Source organism: Homo sapiens, chromosome 5 (genome assembly GCF_000001405.40).
Source record: "Homo sapiens chromosome 5, GRCh38.p14 Primary Assembly".
Taxonomy (NCBI): Eukaryota; Metazoa; Chordata; class Mammalia; order Primates; family Hominidae; genus Homo; species Homo sapiens.
Window position 1 is genome coordinate 146833618 of NC_000005.10, and position 26186 is coordinate 146859803.

The 26186-nt window shown below is 38.6% G+C and overlaps 1 protein-coding gene across 10 annotated transcripts in view; it reads right to left on the minus strand.

Annotated features, from left to right (window-relative positions):
• PPP2R2B (protein phosphatase 2 regulatory subunit Bbeta) overlaps nucleotides 1–26186 on the minus strand; it is a 500779-nt gene that overhangs the window by 252876 nt on the left and 221717 nt on the right. For 2 of the 10 annotated variants that reach the window (NM_001271948.2, NM_181678.2), the window contains one exon: nucleotides 22882–22966. The exons of the other annotated variants lie outside the window; for them this stretch is intronic. In NM_001271948.2, the coding sequence (NP_001258877.1) occupies nucleotides 22882–22918 (37 nt within the window). In that variant the 5' untranslated portion in view covers nucleotides 22919–22966. The remainder of the gene's footprint in view (nucleotides 1–22881; nucleotides 22967–26186) is intronic. 10 annotated transcript variants of the gene reach the window in all.

The window sequence follows — 26186 nt, forward strand, 5'->3', positions numbered from 1 at the left end:
GTTTCTCCATTCTCTGAGGCATTTTCATATTAAGCTCTGGTGAATGGGTATTAATGAGATGGTCATTGGAGTGTCAGGCGGGCCGTGTCTCTTCTTTTTCTGTCTCTCTCCCCCTGCCCTTCCCCATCCCATCCTCCTCCCCCACCCCCAGCTGCACAGCTGACAACTTCAAACATTTAATTACTGATCCCCTCATCCCCTAACAATCAATAGTTGGCATCCCCCAAAATCAAATAATATTCAATGTGCAGAGCTGTATTTGTTTTCACATAACACTGCAGGGAAATTAAAGATAACTCATCATGTGAATCAGGTTCTCTCTTTATGATTAAGAAGTGACTGCCACTTCCATGCACATCCTAGGGGTTACCTAACGTGGCTCTAAAATGTCCTTGGCAAATGTTCTTACTGCTTCTCCAATTACATTAAACTATGGATTGTCTAATGATTCTTTGGAAAAATATACTTTTATGATACCTTGAATGCTAAAAAGGATTCTTGTTATTTATGATAAATTACTTATCTTTTAACAATAGAAATAGTAACATGTATTGAGGGCATACACCATACTAGACAAGGTCCTAGGTGCTTTATATACATAATCCATTTCATTCTCATAGTAAGTCCATGGAGGTAAGTACCATTATTATTTCTCATGTTTTATGTAGAGGAGAACAATGACATTCTGATAGAATGGGTGACTTGACTAAAGTTACAACTAGTTAGTGGCAGAACTGGAATTTAGAATTGTTCTGTCTGAACCAAGAATCAAAAGTCTTAAACACTCCTTTACACTGCCTTTCTTGGCAAGTTGAATTATATCAAATGACTTTTGTTTTGGTTTAGCTATAAATATTTCACTTGTCTCAACTCATCTAGCACCTTTGTCATTCAGGTTCAGTTATCAAGGATCACAACTCTGATTGGTGCTCTGAGTGATAATGACTACATTTCCCATATGAAAAGTCATACATCTTTATTATTTTTATGAAAGTTCAGAGTCCTTGGATTGTGTTTTGTTGTTTTTTTCTTTAAGTTTAGGTTCTGGGAGTACACATGCAGGTTTGTTACATGAGTAAATTGTGTGTGTTGAGACTTGTCACCCAAGTAGTGAGGATAGTACCCACTATGTAGCCTTCCAATCCATGCCCTCTTTCCATCCTTCCCCTTCAAGCAGTCCTCAGTGTCTATTTTTCCCCTCTTTTGTTTCCATGAGTATTCAATGTTTAGCTCCACTTATAAGTAAGAACATGCAGTATTTGGTTTTCTGTTCCTGCATTAGTTGGCTTAGGATAATGGCCTCTAGCTGCATCCACATTGCCACAAAGGACATGATTTCATTCTTTTTTTATGGCTGTATTATATTCCAGAGTATAAATGTACCACATTTTGTTAGTCCAGTCCACCACTGATGGGCACCTAGATTGATTCTGGGTCTTTGCTATTATGAATAGTCCTGTGATGAACAAACAGGTGCATGGATTGTGTGTTAAAGGTGGATTTCAGAAATCATAATGAAAAATAATCTCGAAGATTTATGAGGATCTATTTTTTCACTTGTAGTTATACTGTAGCAGAAAAATTTTGATGACTTAATAATAATTCAATTTAATAATAAACAATGTATTATATTGTTTTTTCACTTATATTTTGAGGGAAAATATTAAAATATTTCCTCAAAAATACATCAAGAAACATACTGAAATTATGAAATATGGCCAAGTTAAATCAGAAATTTCAGGGAGTGTTTTGATTTCCCAATCCACCACTTTATGAGGAAGCATAGAGCCCACTTCAGCAGGTCAGTTGACCTGGGCCCCACCCTCATGAAGCATGTTGAGTTCTAGCAAACATGTACATCTTTGGTTTGTCACCTGTCCATACTGAACTTGGGGCGGAAAGATCACTGCTTCACACCCCTCCTTTTCCTCAGGTTTGCCAGTCTCAGAGAATTAGAACACTGCATAAAACCTTAGAACTCAGTGTATTCCAGCTCTCACAGTCTACTGATGAAGAAACTGAAGCCAAGAAAGGTAGCCACAGTGCCTGGGCCAGACAGACCCAGGTTCCAGAGCCAGCCCAACCATCTCCCACTATCCCACGCTTCCTCTCCAGCTTACACTGTACTGTACAGATATCGGTAAAGGAGTCATCATTTGTAAATAAGGCTGGCAATGTTCCCTCCTCCTAATGTTGTTAACCAGAAACTACTTTATTGTAAAGAAAACAGATGCTACTAATTCTGCATCAAAGACATCTTGGACATTATGCTAATTAGAGCCTAATGAAGTGGGTTGGCATCCCAGTTCCACCGATTTAAGCTATGGGACCAATTATGAAACTTTCCAAAGCCTGAGTTCCATTATTTGTAAGAAGGTGATGATAACACCACCAACCGCATTGGGTTGTTGGTGATATATATATGTAATAATTCATATATCTGACACATAATAAATATTCAATAAATATTACTTTATCTTATCATTTTGCTAAATTGTAACAGAAAATTCCCTATAAGGTCTTCAGAGTAATTCTGCCTACTATGCCCTCCCCATGCAGCTGCCAACAAATTTATTATAGTTGGTATGTCACTGGTTACGTTTTCCAATGTTTGAAAAAAATTCTACCTCACTCCCCATCCTTACCACACATATATCCCCCACCTACTTGGAGTATAAACTCCTGGGAAACCACTTACAATGTACAGTTTGGCTGTGGCTCACCACACTCTTCTCAAGGCTCTTCAGTATTGGGATGGATGGCAAGAATTGCATTTATTTTCTCACTTCTTTTGTTTAAGGTGCTGAGTCAGATTAAGAGATGGCACTGTCCCAAATTGCAACGAACTGGACTCCACTTGTATTTTGTAAAGTTGAGCTGACCCGGCTCAGCTCCTAAAAGAGTGCTGTTTGCCTGCTTTTCCGGGATGAATACTTTAGCAACTGCTGCTCTCTGTGTCTGGACTCACCTTTCAGAGAGACAGAGACTTTGAGGTTCTGTGGCTTTGCCTAATGAATAACCTGGTCTCTGTCATTTTCAAAATGCAAACATTTGTGGGACTCTGAGAACTGTTCTTTGTAGAAACAAGTCATTGCCAAAGTTCAGAGAGATAGCTACAGACACAGATGTAGTCTTAGGACATATTGATTAGCTTTCTGGCTAGATCTTTTTTAATGTAATGGGCATACTATCTTGGTGAAAGAAGTTGACTTTTTGACAATTTGCAGCCATGGAACTTGCCTTCTGCATCAAAATCATTGGAAGATTATGTTCCTCTGAAGTTCCTAATACCTCAGAAAACAGCTCCTGTCCATCCATTCATTTCTTCATTCAACAAATATGTATTGAACACTTGGTTTTAGGTGCTACGCCAACAACTAGCAGCACCAATAATAGTGATAAATAGTATCCTGGAAGAGTTTAAAATTTAGAAGGAAAAATAATCCACAAGTACAGACAGTTATGACTTAGGGTGATTTGATTTAGGATTTTTCAACTTTACGATGATGCAAAAGTGATACACATTCAGTAGAAAATGTACTTCGAGTATCCACACGATCATTGTTTTTTCACTTTCAGTACAGTATTCAATAAGTTACATGAGCTATTCGAACTTTAAAAATAGGCTTTGCATGAGATGATTTTGTAGTAGATGAGTTGTAGTTTAATGTAAGTTGTTCTGAGCCCATTTAAAGTAGGCTAGGCTTAGTTATGATTTTCAGAAGATTACGTGTATTAAATGCATTTTTTGACTTAAGATATTTTCAACTTAATGATGGGTTTATCAGGATACAAACCTGTGGTAAGTTGAAGAGCATCTGTATAGTATGTTAGTTGTATGGGGGTGGGAGAAGAAAGTGATGTGGCTATAAGGTGGCACAGTGAAGTGCTGGGACAGCACTGTTCAATAGAAATAAAATGTGAGACACATATGTGGTTTAAAATTTTCTAGCAGCCACATTAAAAAGTAAAAAAAGGTAAAATTAATTTTAATAATACATTTTCTCAAACTCAAGATATCGAAAATACCATTTCCACATGTAATCAATATCAAAACATTATTGTTGAGATATTTTATATATTTTTTTGTACTAAGTCTTCTAAATCTGGTGTGTATTTTACACTTTCAGCATATCTCAAATGAAATAGCAACATTTCACATGCACAAGACTCACATATCTTCTGATGGCTATCTTGTCGAATAGCACAATTCTAGGAAGTTCAAAAGGGGGAACAATTGCTTCTCAAATTGATGAAGGTAGAGAAGAATGGTATCAGAGAAACTGATTAAGCAGGGACCTGGGAATCTGAGTTGAGTTCCGGGGCATGTTTGTTCCCTAGCACCATGACCTACATGGCAGTGTCTCTTCTCATACTATTTTAAGAGTCCCTGGTAAGTAGGTTCTGTGTTCATATTCCTAACAGTGAGCCCCCTATGCCCCTGTCCTATGGCGTTAAAGAAATCTTTATATGTTGAATGAATAAATGAAAGAAGAATTTAAAAAATAGTTATCTACAGCTTGGTAGACCCTGTGTTGGTATTTGCATATAGTCTCTAATACTTATATTGTGACAAACTTTCAAGGAGCTACTAACATCACCATTTTATAAGAGAGAAATGTGAAATACAGGGTGGTTAGGGGATTTCCCAAGGTTACAGACTTAGAAGGAAGGAAGGGAGGCCGGGCTCACACCTGTAATGCCAGCACTTTGGGAGGCCAAGGTGGGTAGATCTCTTGAGGTCAGGAGTTCAAGACCAGCCTGGCCAACATGGTGGATCCCTGTCTCTACTAAAAATACAAAATTAGCTGGGCATGATGGTGGGTGCCTGTAATCCCAGTTACTTCGGAGGCTGAGGCAGGAGAATCACTTGAACCTGGGAGGCGGAGATTGCACTGAGCTAAGATTGTGCCACTGCACTCCTGCCCAGAGGACAAAGTGAGCCTCCATCTCAAAAAAAAAAAAAAGAAAAAAAAGAAGGAAGGGAGAGAAGAATGGGACAGAGTTACATAATGGGAAGGAAAGCATACAAAAAGAGGAATGAGGATAGACTAGACAGAAGAGTGAGCTACACAAGTGAGTTAAGAAAGTGATATGCTAACACATTAATGATTAATAGGTACGAATTTGTCCATCAAATCTTAAATAGTTCCTCATATATTATACCTTGGACCTCTCTTCTGTTTCTTCTGACAAGGTTTTCTTGAAATAAGAAACAAAAACAAATGACTGCCTTCCCAAGGCAAAGGGTATTTTGGGAAATCTGAAGCAGCGTTAGAGGTTTAGCCCAGTCTTCCTCACTACAGCCTCTTCAACATTTCTGAAAAGTGAATGTCCATCCTCCCTGTGAGAAAACCATCTCCCAAGACAGTCCCTGCCACTCTTTGATAGGCTGAACACTAGAAAATTCGTCCACATACTGATTTCCAACCTTCCCTTCTTATAACTTCCAATTAGAAGCTTGTTCTAATTGTGCCTTCCTAAATACTCTTCTTCATTCAGATATCATGTGCCTACCTAGTCTATTCGATCTTGTGGGGGAGGCAGGAAGGCAAACATTACTTATGCAATACTCAAGTCAAATACATATGGATTCAAACTGAGTCCTAAAATGTATATGTGGCCGGGTGCAGTGGCTCCTACCTGTAACCCCAGCACTTACGGAGGCTGAAGTAGGCAGATCACCTGAGGTCAGGAGTTTGAGACCAGCCTGGGCAACGTGGTGAAACCTTGTCTTTACTAAAAATACAAAATTAGCCGGGCATGGTGGCATGTGCCTGTAATCCCAGCTACTCGGGAGGCTGGGGCAGGAGAATCGCTTGAGCCTGGGAGATGGAGGTTGCAGTGAGCTGAGATTGCGCCATTGTACTCCAGCCTGGGTGATGAGCGAAATCCCATCTCAAAAATATAGTAAAATGTATATGCAATTTCCAAAAAATTAAAAATCATGTTTTTGTGTCATCTGGGAGGTAAGTATAAGAACCAGGGCTTGGCCCTATAAAATTTAATATTATCTCATTTTTACTTAAGAAATGGACTTGCTAAATCTGCTGACCATCCCAAAAAATCATCAGCAACTTGGAGAGTCAGCTTTACATTACAAACAAGTCTGAAAACTGGAATGATAAAAACCATGATGAAGTTCTAACTTGCTGACTTCTTGGCTGTGTTTGGACAGCCACAACTTCCCTGCCTTTCTAAAGGGGCAGAGAATAGAATGCGAAATGTCACCATTTCTACAATTTTATTCATCCTTCTTTCCAAACATTTATTTTTACTTCCTTAGGGTATGAGGAAGAGCATGTTCTAACACAATTGTTCTGAGTTGTTGCCAGGAAGTCAAGTGTATCTTTAGCATCACCTCTGGGCAAATAGTACAAACAGAGGAAAATGATGTTTGAGGCCAAATGTTGAAAACTTGAGACTTGTGTAGCTGAGCTAAAAGAGCAGAGAGCTAAAATGAAAAGTTAATTATGTTGATTCTGTTTTTTTCTATGAGAATTTCTATTTAAAGGAGCAGCAGTAGTGAAAACAGGATGGGCTTTAAGTACCAACAGCTTTGGGTTCAAATGCAGGCTTGTCAATTGCTGCCTGATTGAGTTCCCTTGAATATACATAACAAACATTTAATTGAGTGACTCCTCTGTGCCAGGCACGTTGTCCTTACAGAGCTTAAAGTCCAAGTAAGTTAATTACCCCTTGGAATCTTTTTTTTTACATCGAAAAGAAAATATAATACTATATGCAGGGCTCTTATAATTAAATGAAATGACATATCTAAAGTTATAAAGCCCAGTGCCTAGCATATAGTAGTTGCTTAATAAATCTTAGTTTCTTTTCCTTGTCTTCAGAATAACCAAATTAATCTCTCCTTTGAGTCAAACTGTGATTTAAAAGCACAGCCCTAGTACATCACTAAAAATAAAATCAACAGACAGTTCCACACATCTAGACACTCCTAAAATACCCAAAGGGGTTTGGAGGTCCATCAGCTGTGACAGGCAGACTTCAAAAAATCAGACTCAGATACTGCCCCATTCAAATAGTTCTATTTTGACTCCAATTTGTTTTTATACAAAACAAAAATAAACTGCTTTTCATTTTAATTACCAGCCAGCAAGTATAGTATATGTAGCATAGAAATCAAAGATATAAATGATGCTGCAGTATCAGAACTGCTCATTCTAAAACAATCTATTCATTGTCTGTAATGTGTGAGACATTGTGATGGTATTAGACTAATAAAAGAAACAAACACGTCCTTAATCTGATAGAGCTTACTCTGTAGGAAGGGAGATATACATCTACCTTTAGGGAGGCTAAACAAAGAGATGAAACAAGACAAATATGTATTAAACATTAGTGGCCAATATGCTGTATTACAAGCATTAAATTTTGAACTAGAGTCTCTAATGTAGGGATTCAGGAGAGGTAACAAAGTCAAGGAGACTTTTTGGGAAAAAAGTGGAATTTGAGCCTAGACACTTGAAGCTTATGGAGGATTATTCAATGCCTTCTATTATTCCTGTGCATAAAGATCAAATGCACCAAAACTCAAAGCAGAAGCCAGCTATAATAATGCCTTCTCTTTCTGAATGCATGTAGTTCTGCATGAACTGCTTCATTATTCACTAGTACAAATTTTACTTGGGTCCCATCTCATCCAAAAGGCAGCATTAACTACTCTTGGGTAAAAGGTCATTGGTTTTTATATCTTTGTAGAGTTTTTAAAGACGCTGTTCAGTCCAACTAGCTTCCACTGCCTCACATACACACAAAAGAAAGCAAAGAGAAATAAAGGAAGAGAGGGAGAAAATGCACTATTTGCATTTTCTGATTGTGAAAATTCCTCATTCCTACCTCCCAAACTTCCCTATGGGCAAGACGTAATCACAACCCAGACAGTGGATGCTTCCCCTCTTACTACCCAGAAATGGGAGATAAAGAAAATGTGGCACATATATACCATGGAATACTATGCAACCATTAAAAAGGATGAGTTCATGTCCTTTGCAGGGACATAGATGAAGCTGGAAACCATCATTCTCAGCAAACTAACACAAGAACAGAAAACCAAACACCGCATGTTCTCACTTATAAGTGGGAGTTGAACAATGAGAACACATGAACACAGGAGGGGAACAATACACACCAGGGCCTGTTGGGGGTTGGGGAGCTAGGGGAGGGATAGCATTAGGAGAAATACCTAATATAGATGACGGGTTGATGGGTGCAGCAAACCACCATGGCACATGTATACCTATGTAACAAACCTGCACGTTCTGCACATGTATCCCAGAATTTAAAGTATAATGAAAATATAAAGAAAAAAGAGATTTGATATCAGAAATCTTTTAAAATTTTAAATTGTACTTAGACTGGGCAAACTTCAGAGGTGAGTACTCTGAGACAGGGATTCATCCATACTCCCTAGCCACATCACTGTGAAGCCAAAACAACCACATTCCATTCTTGGCATGGAATACAACATCCTCCCCTTAAAGTACTGCACATTTATCTTCAGCTAAGTTGTGTACATTTGTTCACTCCAACCTTTACCTTCTTCCATCTGAAGTGCTTGATCAGCCACTGAGGAATCGACTTCATGGGAATTCATAGTCCAAAATTATATGGCCTGCTGTACATTTACAGCTTTCTTCAAATTCTCCCCGCTATGGAGAGGAGCCAGAGCTTTAATCAAATTCCTTCCCACCCCCACACATCCCCAAAAGTATAAGAGCCTATATTCTAAATCTACCACAGTCAACTTGCTATTTATTTCATTTCCAAATAACCATACTCTAACCATAATTCAAGAAAAAGGAAAAAAAAAAGACATACTTCAAAAAAATACCTCCATGCCCTTTTTTTTTTTTTTTTTTAAAGTTCAGGGTTACATGTGCAGGATGTGCAAGTTTTTTACATAGAAAAACATGTGCCGTGGGGGTTTGTTACATAGATTATTTCATCACCCAGGTATTAAGCTTGGTATCCATTCATTATTTTTCCTGGTCATCTAATTTTACCTCTCCTCCTCTGGTAGGCCCCAGTGTGTGTTGTTCCTCTCTATGTATCCGTGTGTTCTCATCATTTAGCTCCCACTTATAAGTGAGAACATGCCATATTTGGTTTTCTGTTCCTGCATCAGTTTGCTAGGGATAACGGCCTCCTTATCTGCTAATAACAACTAAATACTGTTAGAAGGTTTGTCTCTGACAGTCTCAGTTAGTAAATTATATTAAAATAATTTTGAAATGCAGTTTTTTTTCTGTTCTAATACTTTAAAATTGGCTGGGCGCGGTGGCTCACGCCTGTAATCCCAGAACTTTGGGAGGCCGAGGCGGGTGGATCACCTCAGGTCAGGATTTTGAGACTAGCCTGACCAACATGGAGAAACCCCATCTCTACTAAAAATACAAAATTAGCTGGCGTGATGGCGCATGCCTGTAATCCCAGCTCCTCGGAAGGCCGAGGCAGGAGAATCTCTTGAACCTGGGAGGCGGAGGTTGCGGTGAGCCCAGATCGTGCCATTGCACTCCAGCCTGGGCAATGAGGGCGAAACTCTGCCTCAAAAAAACTTTAAAATTATCCAGATGCCAGAATCAGTGAATAATGATCAATTTGGGTCTTGATTACATCTTTTTTTCAGTATCTAATGACACTTTGTGAGTATCATTGTAGCCTACTGAGCACTATACAAGGTGAAGTACATAAATCCAGACTTGGAAGCTTACAATCAAATTGCTTTACCAATAATGTATAATATAAAACAACTCCACCCTCTCTTTACCCTGCAGTGATAGAGTAGATAAGGTTTCAAATAGCCCCAAAGGGAACTTATTCCCAATGAGCTTAGATCTTATTTTATACATTGCTAAAATAGGGGATTTGTAACAGATTAATGTAGGATTAGAATAGTCACAGGTGTTCTCTCACACCAGAGAAAAAAGTACAAATTAGATGATATCATCTCACTGTCTATTTTGGCCACAAACTAACCCTTCACTTCTCAAACCCTCAGTTTATTCTTCTATAACTTGGGAATGGTTCTACTTGCTTCTTCTATCTTACAGAGTTATCATGACCCTGAGATAATGATTTCAAAAATATACTGAAAATGATGGTTTCCAATTTCATCCATGTCCCTACAAAGGACATGAACTCATCATTTTTTATGGCTGCATAGTATTCCATGGTGTATATGTGCCACATTTTCTTAATCCAGTCTATCATTGTTGGACATTTGGGTTGGTTCCAAGTCTTTGTTATTGTGAATAGTGCCGCAATAAACATACGTGTGCATGTGTCTTTATAGCAGCATGATTTATAGTCCTTTGTGTATATACCCAGTAATGGGATGGCTGGGTCAAATGGTATTTCTAGTTCTAGATCCCTGAGGAATCGCCACACTGACTTCCACAATGGTTGAACTAGTTTACAGTCCCACCAACAGTGTAAAATCATTCTCAGTAAACTATCGCAAGAACAAAAAACCAAACACCGCATATTCTCACTCATAGGTGGGAATTGAACAATGAGATCACATGGACACAGGAAGGGGAATATCACACTCTGGGGACTGTGGTGGGGTCGGGGGAGGGGGGCGGGATAGCATTGGGAGATATACCTAATGCTAGATGACACGTTAGTGGGTGCAGCGCACCAGCATGGCACATGTATACATATGTAACTAACCTGCACAATGTGCACATGTACCCTAAAACTTAGAGTATAATAAAAAAAAAAAAACATTAAAAAAAAATATATACTGAAACATCCAAAATGCCAGACAAATAAAAGGCTGTCTTCTCTCCTAGCTTCCTTGGATTCTTGCTCTTTCTCCACCTACACAAACTGTTGGCAGGACCCTCAGCAAGATGTCATCATGCACCTGTGAGCATTCATTTCAAGAACAGCCAACCATTTATCTGGAAAATCAGAAACCACAGATAGGGCAGAAGACCTGCATGCCCGGATCCATTCTGTGCAATTTAGTTTTTTGAAAACAAATTTAAGATTCCATGCAGAAAGCACCCTGAACACTGAAAGTATGCACTTCCTTTACAAAGAGCAGCTCAACAAAGCCAGCTGGGTTTAGCAACCCCATTTCTTTCTTTCTTTCCAGCACTTTGCATCTATAGATCAATATGTTGTCATTCCAGAACTTTCACTACCTTATTCTATCTTTCTCTCAATAACCTGTGAGGTTGCAGAACTTTCTTCCAACTTTCACTTATTGCATTTTTACCTTTAGCCTACACAGTGACCTGAGGTCAAGGCAGTCTTCCTAATCAAGAAGCCCCTTCCCCTAAAGCTCTGTAGATTTCAGAGCCCTTAGAATAACATTCCAACTCCATTCCACGGCTTACAAAGTCCATGAGATCCCACTTTTGGCCACTTCTTCATCTCACACCACTTTCTCCTTCCCTCACCAGCTTTCAGCCATGTTCACTTTTTGATTCTTTGCATATGCGACAAGCCTCAGGGCTCTTGGACATGCTGTTTCTTCTACTTGATTAGCTTTCCCACCAATTCTTGTATGGCTGGCTCATTGTCATTCTTTATCTCCCAGCTTATGTCATCTCAACTGAAATCATCTAAAGCCATCTCATCATTATCCAGTATCTCAACCTCTCTTTTGTTTTCATCATAGCATAATTTATGACTATTTCTTTTCTTTTCCTTTTCTTTTTTTTGTTTTTTTTTGAGATGGAGTCTCACTCTGTTGCCCAGGCTGGAGTGCAGTGGCACACTCTTGGCTCACTGCAAGCTCCGCCTCCCAGGTTCATGCCTGGCTAAATTTTTTTTTGCACTTTTAGTAGAGACGGGGTTTCACCGTGTTAGCCAGGATGGTCTTGATCTCCTGACCTCGTGATCCGCCCGCCTCGGCCTCCTAAAGTGTTGGGATTACAGGCGTGAGCCACCACACCTGGCCAATTTATGACTATTTCATTTTCTGTTTTATTCATGTCTCCTCCATAAAGGTGTAAGCTGAAGAACAGACACTGTGCGTGGTCAGCTCATGATTAGAGCTCCAGTGTGTGAACCATCACTCATGCTAACATAGTTGATGCTCCATGACCATACAGTGAGTGCGTGAAAAATATACATGGAGTGAAATAGGCAATTTGAGTATGTACACTAAATTCTGTTTCCCATGTGCATGTACTAGAATAGGAATGTTGATTAACTTGTTTTGAAAAAGAATTCCTCCAGCAAGTGTAAATCTAAACTATTTTTGACTAACTTTGGGAGCTCCAGACCTGTACTGTGCAACACAGTAGCCACTAACCACGGGCCACTATTGCTCACTTGAAATGACACCAGTCTGAATTCAATGTGCTGTAAGAGTAAAATATACACTGAGTTCTGAAGACAACATGAGAAAAAGAATGTAACATCTCATAATTGTCATTTTGATTACATATTAAAATAATATTTTTGATACATTGGATTAAAATATTAAAATTAATTTTATCTGGCCAGGTGCAGTGGCTCACGCCTGTAAACCCAGCACTTTGGGAGGCTGAGGTGAGTGGACTGCTTGAGCCCAGGAGTTCGTGACCAGCCTGGGCAACAAGGCAAAACCCGTCTCTACAAGAAATACAAAAATTAGCTGGGCATGGTGGTGTGCACCTGTAATCCTAGCTACTCAGGAGGCTGAGGCAGGAGAGTCACTTGAACCTGGGAGGCAGAGGTTGCAGTGAGCCAAGATTGCGCCACCACACTCCAGCCTGGGCGACAGAGTGAGACTCCATTTCAAAAAATAATAATAGTAAAAGTCAGGCACAGTGGCTCACGCCTGTAATCCCAGCACTTTGGGAGGCCGAGACGGGTGGATCATGAGGTCAGGAGTTTGAGACCAGCCTGACCAACATGGTGAAACCCCGTCTCTACTAAAAATACAAAAATCAGCTGGGCATGGTGGCACGTGCCTGCAACCCCAGCTACTCAGGAGGCTGAGGCAGGAGAATCGCTTGAACCTGGGAGGTGGAGGTTGCAGTGAGCCTAGATCTTGCCACTGCACTCGAGCCTGGGCAACAGAGAGAGACTCTGTCTCAAAAAAAAAAATTAATTTTATCTGTATTCTTTATTTTTTTTAAAAGTAGCTACTAAAAAATTAAAATTACATATGTGGCTTATGTTAGATCTCTTGGAATGATGCTGGTCTAGAATATTCCTCTATTCTCTCATCATTTCAGAGTTAATCTGATTTTAATGCTTATGACTTTTTCTTAAACCTGCCTATAATGGTATATATTGAGAGTGAAAAATATTTAGAAGTCTCAAAGCCACTGCCTTAAATTCTTATGTTATTCTACAGTATTCTTATCTCATGCAGATCTTAGAACATTGTTCAAGTATCATAAACTATAATACATCAGACTATGGGTGGGAAAACATCTTCATATAATTTTAGAATCATTATTTACACTACTGTTCAAATCCTTTAATTCTACTTCCAGAGCTACTACCATCATCTAGGCCACCGTAATCTCTCAACTGATCTGTATGACTGAAGTAACTTCCTAACTGGTCTTCTACCTCTATCTCATTGTTTTCCAACAATAGACAGTGTAAAAGTCTTACATGCTGCCTTCTTGCTTGACCTGCCTGTAGTTGTCCACTAACCCCAGGATAAAGTTCAAATCTTCAATTCAGCCTTTAATTCCTGACATAATAGACTTACTTCCTCCTCTTGCCTACTTCCTCCTCCTCTTAGGCTCCTCACACCAGTCATTCTGAACTCCACTGTTCTGTAAAGGTGCCATGCTTCTTTTGGTTTTTGGATTTTGCTCCTTTTACAGAACCCACATCCATTACTCTCCTTTTATCTGGTCAACTTCTACTCTATTCTCAGCTTAAGGTTAGAAGCAGCAGGTGTGTCTGGTACATAGGTGCCTGCCTTGCAAGGGAAAGCATCTCCTGGCCTCCAGGAACCCACCACAGGGCTTGTGCTCTGTTGGTGGTGGATGTAGAACACAAGCCACATGCCCAAACCTAGGCGTGCACTAAGCACTCTCCACAATTCTGCCACTGAATCCTCACCACAAACCTGTGAGCAGACAGCAGCAGCAGCATTTAAGTCCTGTGTGCCAAGACTTGTTTCAAGTACTTTAAATATATTTTCTCAGGCTTCAGGAAAACTCCCTAAGGTAGGTATTTACTGTTTTCCTATTATATTATTCTCTTATTATCCAATTCATTGATGGGGAACTAAAGCCCAGATGGATTTAGTAAATCACCCAGCCCCATAGCAGGGGATACGAGCTCCTGCGGCTTGGCTTGGCAGCCTATGTTGACTTGTGCAGGTGTTATCACCATTTTAGAGATGAGGAAACAAAAGCTCAGCAAGTTTAGGGAATTTTCCCAAAGTCACCATATCAGGATTTAAAAGACAAGTTAGATGCCACATCATGTTTTTCCCAATAGCTGTCCATACTCCGTCATTTTACCTGCGTTACAGTCGCCTACCAACTTACTGGCTCCCCCTACTAGACTGTATGTTTCTTATTCTTTAGTTTTTTTTATCTTATTAACAGATTTTATTTTTAAAAATAGATTTAGATTGACAGAAAAATGGAACAGATAGTACAGAGAGCTCTTCTATACCTCTTGCAGGATTTCTCCTATTGTGAATATCTTATGTTAGTGTGGTACGTTTTTATAAGTAATGAAGCAATATTGGTATGTAATCATTAACCAAAGTCCATAGTTCATTCAGATTTGCTTAATTTTCTAATGTCCTTTTTCTACTCTAGGATCCTACCCAGGATAGTACATTACAGTTAGTTGTCATGGCTCCTCAGGCTCCTTGAGGCTGTGGCAGTTTCTCAGACTTACCTTACCTTTGATGATCTTGACAGTTTTGAGGAATAGCAGTAAGGTATACTGTAGGATGCTCCTCCAGTGGAATTTATTTGATGTTTTTCTCGTGATTGAAGACCACAGAGATAAAGTGCCATTTCCATCCTATCACATCAATCAAAGGTACCTATATCAACATGCCTTATTTTCATGTTGGACTTGATCACCTGGCTGAAGAAATGTTTGTCAGGTTTCTCCACTGTAAAGTTACTCCCCTCTCCTCCAAACTGTACTCTGCACCCTTAGAAAGAAGTCATGATGTACAGCTCACCCTTAAGGCTTAGGGAGCTATGCCAACTTGCTGTCTTCCTTGAGGGTATGTTATCTGCACAATTTATCTGGAGTTCTGCATGGGAGATTTTCTCCTCCTCTCCTATTTATTCAATTATTTACTTATACCAGTATGAATTTATGCATATTGATTTTATACTTTGGGATAGAATTCAATGCTATATTTTATTGCTCGGATTGTTCCACTTTGGCCATTAGGAGCTCTTCCAGTTGATTTCGGTGTCCTTTTGACATACCTCCATCAGTGCAGGCTTTTTTCCTTTTTTTTCAGTACTTCTTTACTTTCTGGTTCTATAAGAGGCTCCAGACTCATATACTTCCTTTGCTACTAGTAGCATCAGACATTTCTTCAAGAATTCCTGGTTCCTTTTATTAAAGAATGGTTTTAGAAATCAAGATCTGGGTGCTAGTTGCTACTGGGATGCCATTTCTTTTAGGCCCTCTCAGCTGACACAGAAAGAAATATATGTGTGCATATAACCCTATGTATATCTACATAAATATTTCTATATGTAGTCACTTGTGAATATATAAAGTTAAGCAGGGGTTCTTGTTGATGTCTCTAACTTTAATTCATTACCACATGTAGCATTCTAACATCCTCCTCTTGCTTATCTGTAAATTCTCACTCCACTAGTGAGAAATGACTGTAAGCTTCTTAAAGGCAGAATTAGTGCTTTAATCACTGCTGTATCCCAAGTATAGTGCTTGGCACATATAATGTACATGTTGACTTACTGTTGAATTTACTCCATAATCTCAATTCTGGAAGGGACTACAGATAAATTTGCAAATGTTACAAAATACGGATTTCAAAGACTAAAATCACAACAATTTATTAGGGCAAACAGTACAAGAGGGTGCACTAACAAAGGTCTGATTTAAGTGCTTTTATTCAACCCAGTGAAGGGAAAATGACAGTAATACATCTAAGCCATGCAAAAAGGATTCAGGCTTCCTTGAAAAGGATTCAAGTGGCATAAAATGGTTTGTTTCTCCACAGCAATTTACATTTATTAAAATAGATAATAGGCATAATCATTGTCAAAATAGAGCTTCTACCCTGTATAATATCTTAATACATCCTCGAAGTTCCTGACAAACAGGCACAAAGCCATGGCAGATTAGAGTCTAAGTGGAGGATCACTCCAATAGCACAGCAGAAAAACCAATCTCACACTTCTAGGAAGGAAAATAAGACCTGAGAACAGCCTTTGAAGGTGGAGGGTAAAGTACAAAGGGAAAGGTGCTAAAGTGATGCATCAGCTGGAAGTATAACTGGGCTCTAATGTGACACTCTGCATTAACGATGCTAATTTATGTCTGGGTAAGCGTGTGTGGGTGACACAGAGGAATTTGAAGAGGTCTATATTATACCATGGGGGAGCTCATCTTGAATCTTTTGCCAGGGTACATGCTTTATGCAGGGACTGCTTCACGTGGGCATATATTATGTACATTTTGTGTCAGTTTCATCTGAGTAAATCACGTGTCTCTTTAGATCTATTCTAGACCCTTTCCAATCTATTCTTTGCACTGCAGCCAGAATAGTATTTTTGAAAAGCAAACTTGGTCACTTTCCCCAATCTTCCCTACATTTAAGCATTTAAATGGCTTCCTGTTACTCATAAGATAAAAAGCAAAAATGGCTCATATATTTTTGCAAGACTCTGCAAGATGTGGCTTCTGTCTAATGTCCATCCTGTGGGAACTTAAGCCACACTGGCCACCTTTCACTTTTTGAACACACACTCTCTCTACTGCTACTACCATAAAGCCCTTGTACATGCAGTTCTCCCTGCCTGGGTCATCTTCCCATCTCCTCTTCAACAGAGCTAACTCTTATTATGACTTTCGGATTTAGCAATTATTCTTTCACCAGGGAAGCCTTCCCTGTCTAGGTCCAATAATCCTCTTATTACACACTCTCAGAGTACTACTAACTCCTTCAGAGTGCTTGTCACGGTTGCAATTGTACATTTATCTTTATTATTCTTTATTAATATATTTCCCCAGAGGGTCTTGTCACTCCATATTCCTGGTATCTAACCCCATAGCTGGTATACAATAAGTGCCCAATAAACACCTATCAAGTAAATGTCTGAAAAATGACCACGCAATCTATCCATACTGCTGTAAAGACTTTCTAGAATATTAAAGTCCTCTTTGGATTCAGAAGAATATGTCACTTCACATAATAAATTTGATTGGTCACCCCAAGGATGAGTAAATAAACATCACTGCCAGGTTTGGTAGTTTCCAAATAAACATGAGGTCCTTTTTATCATATCGAAATGAATATTATTCAATATTACATAGAAGTGGACATAAGAGGACATGAAGAAACAATCTCATGCAGTAAAGGTTCACAATGGTGCCAATCATCTCCTAATCCTGTCCCTCAGAGATCTGTTTATTAAGTAATTTTTCTTTATTTCACAATATCTCAAATGCTACTATTGGGCTCAAGCTCTCATCATTGGCCTTGGATTTCATTCAACATTTAACAAATATTTACTGAGCATATTTACTAGATTCCAGGCACTGTGTTAGAGCCTGGGATACACACTAGGCAAGAGAGACAGGTGCTCACCTTCAAGAAGAGAGGATAACCAACACACAAATGAGTAAATAAAATGATTGCTGATTGCTATTAGTGCTAACAAGGAAAGAGATCCTGTTCCATGTGAGTGAGATCATGCCCATTGCTTCATCATGATTGTAAGTGATCCAAATGCCTCACTGGGATAACCTGCATCATTATTGCTTCGTGGTACCAGGTAGATCACAGTCTTTTCTTTTTACTTGATGAAGGAGTAAAGAATTTTCTGTTTTAATGCCATGGTTTCCTATAAGAATTTAAATATACTCACTTTCTCAAATTAAATAAGTGTAGGCAAAACACAAGGTATACCTTTTCTAAGGAGTCACTATAACACCTCAAAATCTCTATTGTCAGCTTTGATGCACCCCAAAAGATCAAAGTGCCTTGCTCTTTAAGATGCATATCTCAACAGAGCAGCTGTTTCATTTCAAGAGAGTCTTCATTTTTTTTTTAGTGATAAGTTTACAAGCAGTTGTTAGTGGTACAGAAAATCTTACGACATCTGTGGAGAAGTTGTAAATTTTTCAGATTGGGTTAGGATTCTCTTGATAATCATTAAAATCCTTGAGGTCTAGGATAGCATTTGGAGCATAATTTGACCTCAATTATGTGTTAAATGTTTGCTGAAGAAATGGTGATGCTTTGAGAAAATTAGCTATTTGAAGCATGAGACCAGAGTGGAGCTGAAAGAAAAAAATTAAAATTAAAGTGGCTCACTTATCAAAAACCAAAGCCACAGAGAAAGGGGACCAATAACAGCATCCTCTTCATTCCATTTTGATTAAGGCTGCAGGCTTATGAGGGGACAGGAAGCTGGGAGAATCTCAAGAAAAGAAAATGCAGTCCCTAAATGCCACAGCTCAAGAGGAATGCTCCAGCCTACTGTCTCCAATGGAGAAGAACAATCTGCAGATTGACAAAGCCCTCTGTTTACACTCCTGAACAAATAAACTAATCATGCCTTTGTTTTTAACCTAACAAATCATAGCCTGATTACAGGTCATTAGTGACCATTAATATGTGAAACTGTTTGCATTTCACTAGTATATCTGAATAACAGTCTTGCCTTTCACACTAGCTCAGTCAAGTTTCCAAAAGGAAAGCCCCGTTATCAGGCCACGAGCAGGACTTAAATTAACAATTAGCCTCTAGAATCGAACTATGATGCAGAAGAATTCATTATTTTGGTTCATTGTGGTTCCGCCTACTGTAGAACCAGTCTTTGCCTTTGTAGTGGAGACATGCTCTTTGTGCCAAAAGATTGTGTGACCACCTCTCTCCAAACATTCTCAACAATTCCCAATGACTGCTAATGTGTTGGCCAGCAACATGAACCTGCTTATGTGACAATAGTATAGACGGTCCTAAGTTCACAATACGATGGCTGATTAGAGTACAGATAAATGCAGGGAGCACATTGGGAATTATCAGAAACATAGAAGTGACAGGAAAAAGGTCTATTTGACAAAAAAGCGGAGGCAGAGTAGAGAGTATGTATACCTGAGTGAACCTGATAATCTAGAATTTTTAAAAGTGCAATTAGAGCTTTGGATTATCAGCATTAAGAGGCAAGATTCTTCAAAGGAATTGGATAATTGCCAAGCCTCCATTTCATTTTGTGCTGAGCAGTCGTCACAGAGGGGCATGGAGTGATTAACAGAGATTAAAGATCTCAGGAATGTTTGAGAACTTTCTAACATAGCAGTTGCCATTTAGGAGCAAACCCATGGTCCAACTTATCTAATGTTCTGTTGCTTCAAAAAAATGTCCCCTAGGAAATGCCACTTTTGACTACTAATGTGTTGAGGCCATAGAATTAGAGGCATTGCTAACAAATCAAGAAATGGCAGCCCATATATTGCTGCAATCATTTTTACTTTTTATTCTGGACTAGCTACCAACCACGTGATTCATGCCCCAGTTTAAAATGCATAATGATAGTATAGAGTTCCATGTAGTTTAAAAAGTCCTTTTAATCCATTATCCTGCTCATCTCTATATCAGCTTATGAAAGTTAGATTATGAATAGTATAGTAATGGTGCAAAACACAGGTTCTAAGTTAAACTTGTCTGTTTTCAAATCCTGGCTTTTCTACTGCTAATAAGGTGACTTTGAGCAAATTTCTTAACCTTTCTGAGCTTCTTTTTGCTTATCTGTGAAACAGATAATAATGATGCCTACCTCAAAAGGTGATTTCAAAACCCTAATTGAGTAACTAATGCATGTAAAGGGCTTAGTACACTACATGGCACATAATTAGTGCTCAATAAATATTAACTGCTATCATTTTTTTTTTCCACCAGCAGCAGTATCCACTATGGCCACCATCTCCATCTTCCACAGAATAAGGAAAATAAAATATCTACGATAGACTTTTTCCTGAAGTCACCCAATTACTAAATAACTGAGGTGGGACTAACCATCATCTTGACTACCATTCTCCCTGCTTGGAATACTTTTCATTCTTCTTCCCTCCTCCTCATCCTTCAGGTCTCAGTTTAGCCATCTGCTTCCTCATGAGCCCTGCTCTGAGCCCTCTTATGTCATTTCACATTCTCTTGTACTTCCTCCATCAGAGAACCTCTCATTCTGCATTATAATTGCCTGTTGTCCTGTATGTGTCCCCTACTAAACCACAGGTTCCTTAACAGTAGAGACCAGGTCTATATACTAAACCTTTGCATCCCCAGCACCGAGTACAGCACCAGACACATAGTAAGTGCACAATAAATACTTAATAAGTAAAAGGATGGATGCCAGACTCTTCATTCCCAATCTGCTGACACACATTAAATTATTATTTCACACTGGAATGGATTTTAGAAAATCAGAGAGAGCCCTACAAGGCTTCATGTCTTATACTGCTCTTAAATAATCATAATCTCATGTCAGAAATTCAAGGCAATTTTTAAAATACATAATATGTTACATATTTATGGGGTACATGTGATATTTTATTACATGCATAGAATGTATAATGATCAAGTTATGGTATTCGGGTTATTTATCACCTTGAGTATTTATTATTTCTATGTGTTGGGGACATTTCAAATTCTCTCTTCTGGCTTCTTTGAAATATGCAATACATTGTTGCTAACTACAGTCACTGTACTCTGCTATCAAACATTAGAATTTATACCTTTTATCTAACCGTATATTTGTACCCATTGACCAACCTCTTTTCATCAAGGCAGTCTTAACCAGATTCTAATAGATTCAATTTCTGAAGAAAGTAACTAAACTTGTGAAAATGACACCTTGAAGTGATTCTTACATTATATTAAAACACAAGCACGTGTGTATAGACACACACTCACCTTGTACCTCACACTGATCGCTAAGCTGTGCACAATACTTATATAGTCACCAACCCTCCAAATTTGGAGAAGGGCACTGTCTTTGTACTTTGAAGGGATTTTTCAGAAACATTTGGACTTGATGAGGCACAGTGAAAAGCAGGTATTTATCCTGGCTATTCTTCACGACAAGCTCTTAAAATTTGGACTCTGAACTGTCTCTCGCAGTTTTTATGTTTTTAGAAATTTTGAGTCTGATATGACACAAGTCGTAAAATTTGACCAAATAACAAAATACTTCCATTTTTTTTCTCCCTCCATCTTGGAGGAGGAATAGGGGGCATAAAAGTTGGAAGCTCCAGGGAAATCCACTCAAAGCTATTCAGTTTCATCTCATTAAAGTAACATCATCAAGGGCAAACCAAATAAAACTCAAACCCCCAATCAATATTATATTAGAATGCACTGAAAGTGTTACTTAGTTGGTAGGAAGGAAAAAAAATCGTACATTGAAATTACAACAGATGTAAGCCTTTTATTCAAATAGACCAGAGAGCAAAAGGTAATTTTTCAATAGCAAGGGAAGAGCTGAACTCTACCTCACATCACCAACACTATTTAAAAGCAAAACCTGCTCTTATTATTTTATATAAAAACACATTTAAAAATATCACCTGCATGGAGTCTCTATAAATGCATAATGCTAACATTGCATAGTTCCCTTAGGACACAAATGCCTCACACATCTTTATCCATAGTCTGATGGAGAATATTCACAAACATATATGCATACAGACACAAACACAGTATACATACACATACACACATACCTGCTTTTTGTTTTCTTCCCTTTTTGAACTGTGACCACCTTTTAAATTTTATTAGCTCTATGATAAAATATTTATCTAGAGCCTTTTTCCCTCTTCGTTCCTTTTATTAAAGGGAGCTCTTCTCTTCTGAATGTTGTACTCTTTGATCTCTCTCAGGGTTCATACAAACTCTGTTACAAACTCCACCTCTAAAGAGAATCTCTGATGATTCTCTTTCTTAAATCAAAATACAGTTCTTTTGTATTAAATTTTATTTTCCATTATCCCAAAATATAGCCAAATGTGGAGGCTGTAAAGCTAAAGCCTCACCACACACTGTATCGAGAAATGAATAAAAAAGCCTAGCAGAAGCCTTCATGCTACTTCATCCAAATCAAGTGTAACTACTTAGGAGTTAATAATGAAAGGGCTTTAGAATATTTGATACAGGTGAGAAGTTGTTTTTCCTACACAGTGATTTCTAGATCTATTTTCTCATTGGAAATTACCTGTTCAGTGATACCTTTTATTCTTCGTTATATTCAAAGTAAGATGCCCATATTGTCTTTCTTTGCCTCTTGACCCCAAGCTCTTTTTCTTTGTGTCTTGACCCCAAGCTCTTTTTCTTTGTTTGAGCAGTTAATATATCTACTTTGTTCTCTAGCTTATTCAACAAACCTAACATCAATAAAGCAGGCTCTATTCTTGTTTAGCCAACACTCTCTCTCCTGGTAATTTTATAACCAGTTATATCATCCCCATGTACATTTGGTCAAAATATGTTCTTGTTCTTAAAACAGTAAATCAAACTATGCTTCCTATGTACAATAACTATTTAAAAAATGTAAATTAACTTGTGTCCTACGGAACAAATTTTAAGCAACTGGAACTATTTAAAAAATGTAAATTAACTTGTGTCCCACGGAACAAATTTTAAGCAATTGGAACTATTTAACACTTCTATACTGCTACTTTATCAAGAAGAGTAGGTATAAATAATAATACGAATACCTTTATTTCCATAGGTGTTTTCATCTGGATAATTCATGCTTCATTATTGGGCCACTATTCTCTGTCTTGGGTTCTCCCTTGGCTCCTGTGACAAACATGGGGTTCAGATCCAGACTCCAGGAGGTAGTGATGCTTCAACTTTTGGTAACATACAGGTGCATTTACATACTTTCCACATACCCCCTACCATCTCTTTGGGAGAGTTTGCTCCAGGCCTGTCAAAATCCAGGCTAACAAGGTAACACAATCAACACTGTAAAAGCTTCCTTGCCTCAGCCCCGTCGACCTGAAGTGGACTGCCTACTCACTTGAGAAGACAGACAGAGAGCCACGGTCTCAAAGTGTTGCTCCTGATCATCATCAGCAGCAGTAGGATTACCTGGGAAACTGAAAAAATCAAACTCACAGGCCTATAGACCTATTCTAAGCTTGAGGGGGTGGAGCCTGGAACCTTGTATTTAACAAATACTTCAGGTGATTCTAATGCACGTTAAAGTTTGAAAACAGCTGCTGTATGACCTCTAGGGAGTTTTGAAGAGGCTGTAGTGATCAGGAGAGCTGGCTTCATATAGCCAAAGTAGGGTCCTGTGGACAGGATACTCAGCGTTTGGGGTAGGGTTTTATGGTGCAGGGCTAGGAGCAGTGGGTGAAAGAGAATGCTCTGGTGCAGAACAACTTCTATGCAATAGGAACTATTCAGGAGCAGAAGTAAGTCACCTCACTCGTTAGAAATGGCCCCATTTCTCTGCAAGCGTTCAGAAGTATGAGGTTATATCCTACGAGAAACTATGAAAAAGGTGATATAAGAAGAAATATTCAAAATAAACGTGTAAGATTAAAAAAAATTAGGCCTTAATGGGAAGCTTCAACATACCACTAATATAGAACAAAAGGTTCATAATTAGTCCATTATTGTTAATTTTTTAGTATCTTAAATTTATTATCCTTAAATATCCTGCTGATGGTGCATGGAGTAGATAATGAGTTTTAGTTTCCTCAATGTTTCATTTCATATTCAGAAAAAGAATCCAACCTAACAGATTATTTAAAAGAGATAAAATCACCACCAGCCAGTACTGATACTGGATCAAAGATTAAGGTTAGTGTATTAACTTATTTGTCCTCTGTTTTGTAATCAAAACAACTGTCTTCTAACGGTAATATCTTAAGACATATACATAACTGTACTAATTTTTTTTTTTTTTTGAGATGGAGTTTTGCTCTTGTTGCCCAGGCTGGAGTGCAATGGCACGATCTCGGCTCATTGCAACCTCCGCCTCCCAGGTTCAAGCAATTCTCCTGCCTCAGCCTCCCTAGTAGCTGGGATTACAGGCATGTGCCACCACACCTGGCTAACTTTGTATTTTTAGTAGAGACAGGGTTTCTCCATGTTGGTCAGGCTGGTCTCGAACTCCCGACCTCAGGTGATCCGCCTGCCTTTGGCCTCCCAAAGTGCTGGGATTACAGGCATAAGCCACCATGCCCAGCCAACTGTACTAACATTAATAAAAATACAGCTTAACATTTAGCAATTACTACCTACTATTTTCCTGGGACTGTCATGAGCACATTACAGGCACCGTCACTTTTAATACTTACAATAGCCTTATGAGGTTAAGCATTGTTATCTTTATTTTACAGATGAGGCACCTGGGCTTAGAGAGGTTAAATAACTTGCCCAAGGACTAGCAAGTGGTGGAGCCAGGATACAAACCCAGTCATCTCCAGAGTCTGTTTTCTTGACTACTTTTTTCATATAATTCTAAACTCTAGGGTTGGGAGGGTAAAAATGTATGTGGTCCAGTGCAAATAATACTTATGACCACTTAAGTCTTCTAAAACTACTAAAAACAACCAACTACTCACTGAATGTTTAATCTGTGTCAGGGACTGAACTAGCCATGTACAAGTATTATCTCACTTAATCCTCACAACAACCATGGAAAGTAGTTACTACTATTGTCTTAACTTTACATAGGGGCAACTGCAGTTAGAGGATTTAAGTAATGAGCCCATCTTCTTATCAAAGATTTCACTGCTTACATAATAAAATGGAAATGAGGCAAAAAAAATACACACAGTACTCAGTAAATGTTGTTTACTAGTCACTAGTAAATTAGTGACTAGTTTCTGGGGATCAGAATGGTGTTGGTGATGATCAATCCATTGTTTTTCTTACCTATTTTCTTGCTCATTCCAAATGGTAGATATCTGTGAGTTAGATACTTGAGCGCAATATACAGCCATGACATAAAAGTAAATCCACTGGCTTCTCTATGTCTTTATTATCACCAAACCCTAGTGCTTTAAGGCTTGCACCACTGTCCAGGAATGTGGTTCCAGAGACTCTTCCACTTGGCAAGAGTAACAATGAGTGACTTTAGGAATGAGACACAACCCATGCCCAAGCCCCAAAATCAAAGGTGTAAAGCACACCAAGTTGTTCCACCCAAAGAACCTTGTTCTAAAAATGTTAGTGGTCAGTGTCTTACAGAGAGTCAGCAAGCAGATGCACTTTTTTCCAAGACTATAAGATTTCATCTAGTTGGGAGTTTATTGATTTATCTGATATTCCAATATCATAGAAAGAGCTCGGTTTTATGAATCAGTCTCTAAACCTCAGTCTTTTCTCCACCATAAACTAGGTATGTGATCATAGACAAGTTGATTAACTCCACTGGATCTCAGTTTTCTCACTGAAAAAATGAGAATAAAGGAAATTTACTCTTTATATTTGTTGAGCAGAGTAGATAAGAGCTGTGAAAATGCTTTGCAGAAATACAAAACCCCTCCCACAAGTATAAGATGACATTACTATTTTACATAACTCCTTCCTTGCCTAATATTTAGCTGCTAATGTATCAACCTGTTTGGAGAAGTTGGTTTATTGAAGAACTAATTTAAAAGCAAGAGGAAGGGGCAATTCTTAAGAGTTGAAAACTATCAGCAGTGCCAAAGACAACTGAATTGTTTGATCAGTTGTTTTGATGGTTAAGAGGGAGTAAGATATTTATTACCTGGGTAACCAAATAATGTGCATGTTGCAAACCCCTGTGACATGCAGCTTATCTATCTAACAATCCTACACATGTACTTCTAAACCTAAAATAAAAGTTTTAAAAAAAGAGGGAGTCAAGAGCCAGTAAGCGTGGCAAACCCCCCAGATAAGTTCATGTTGGTATGAAATAGCCTGAGAAACCTTTCTGTGAAAGCAACAAGGAATATCACAAAACTACCATGTAAATGAACAGGACATAAATAGCAGCTCAACAACATGGGCTCTTTGGGTTTCTATTCAAATTTCA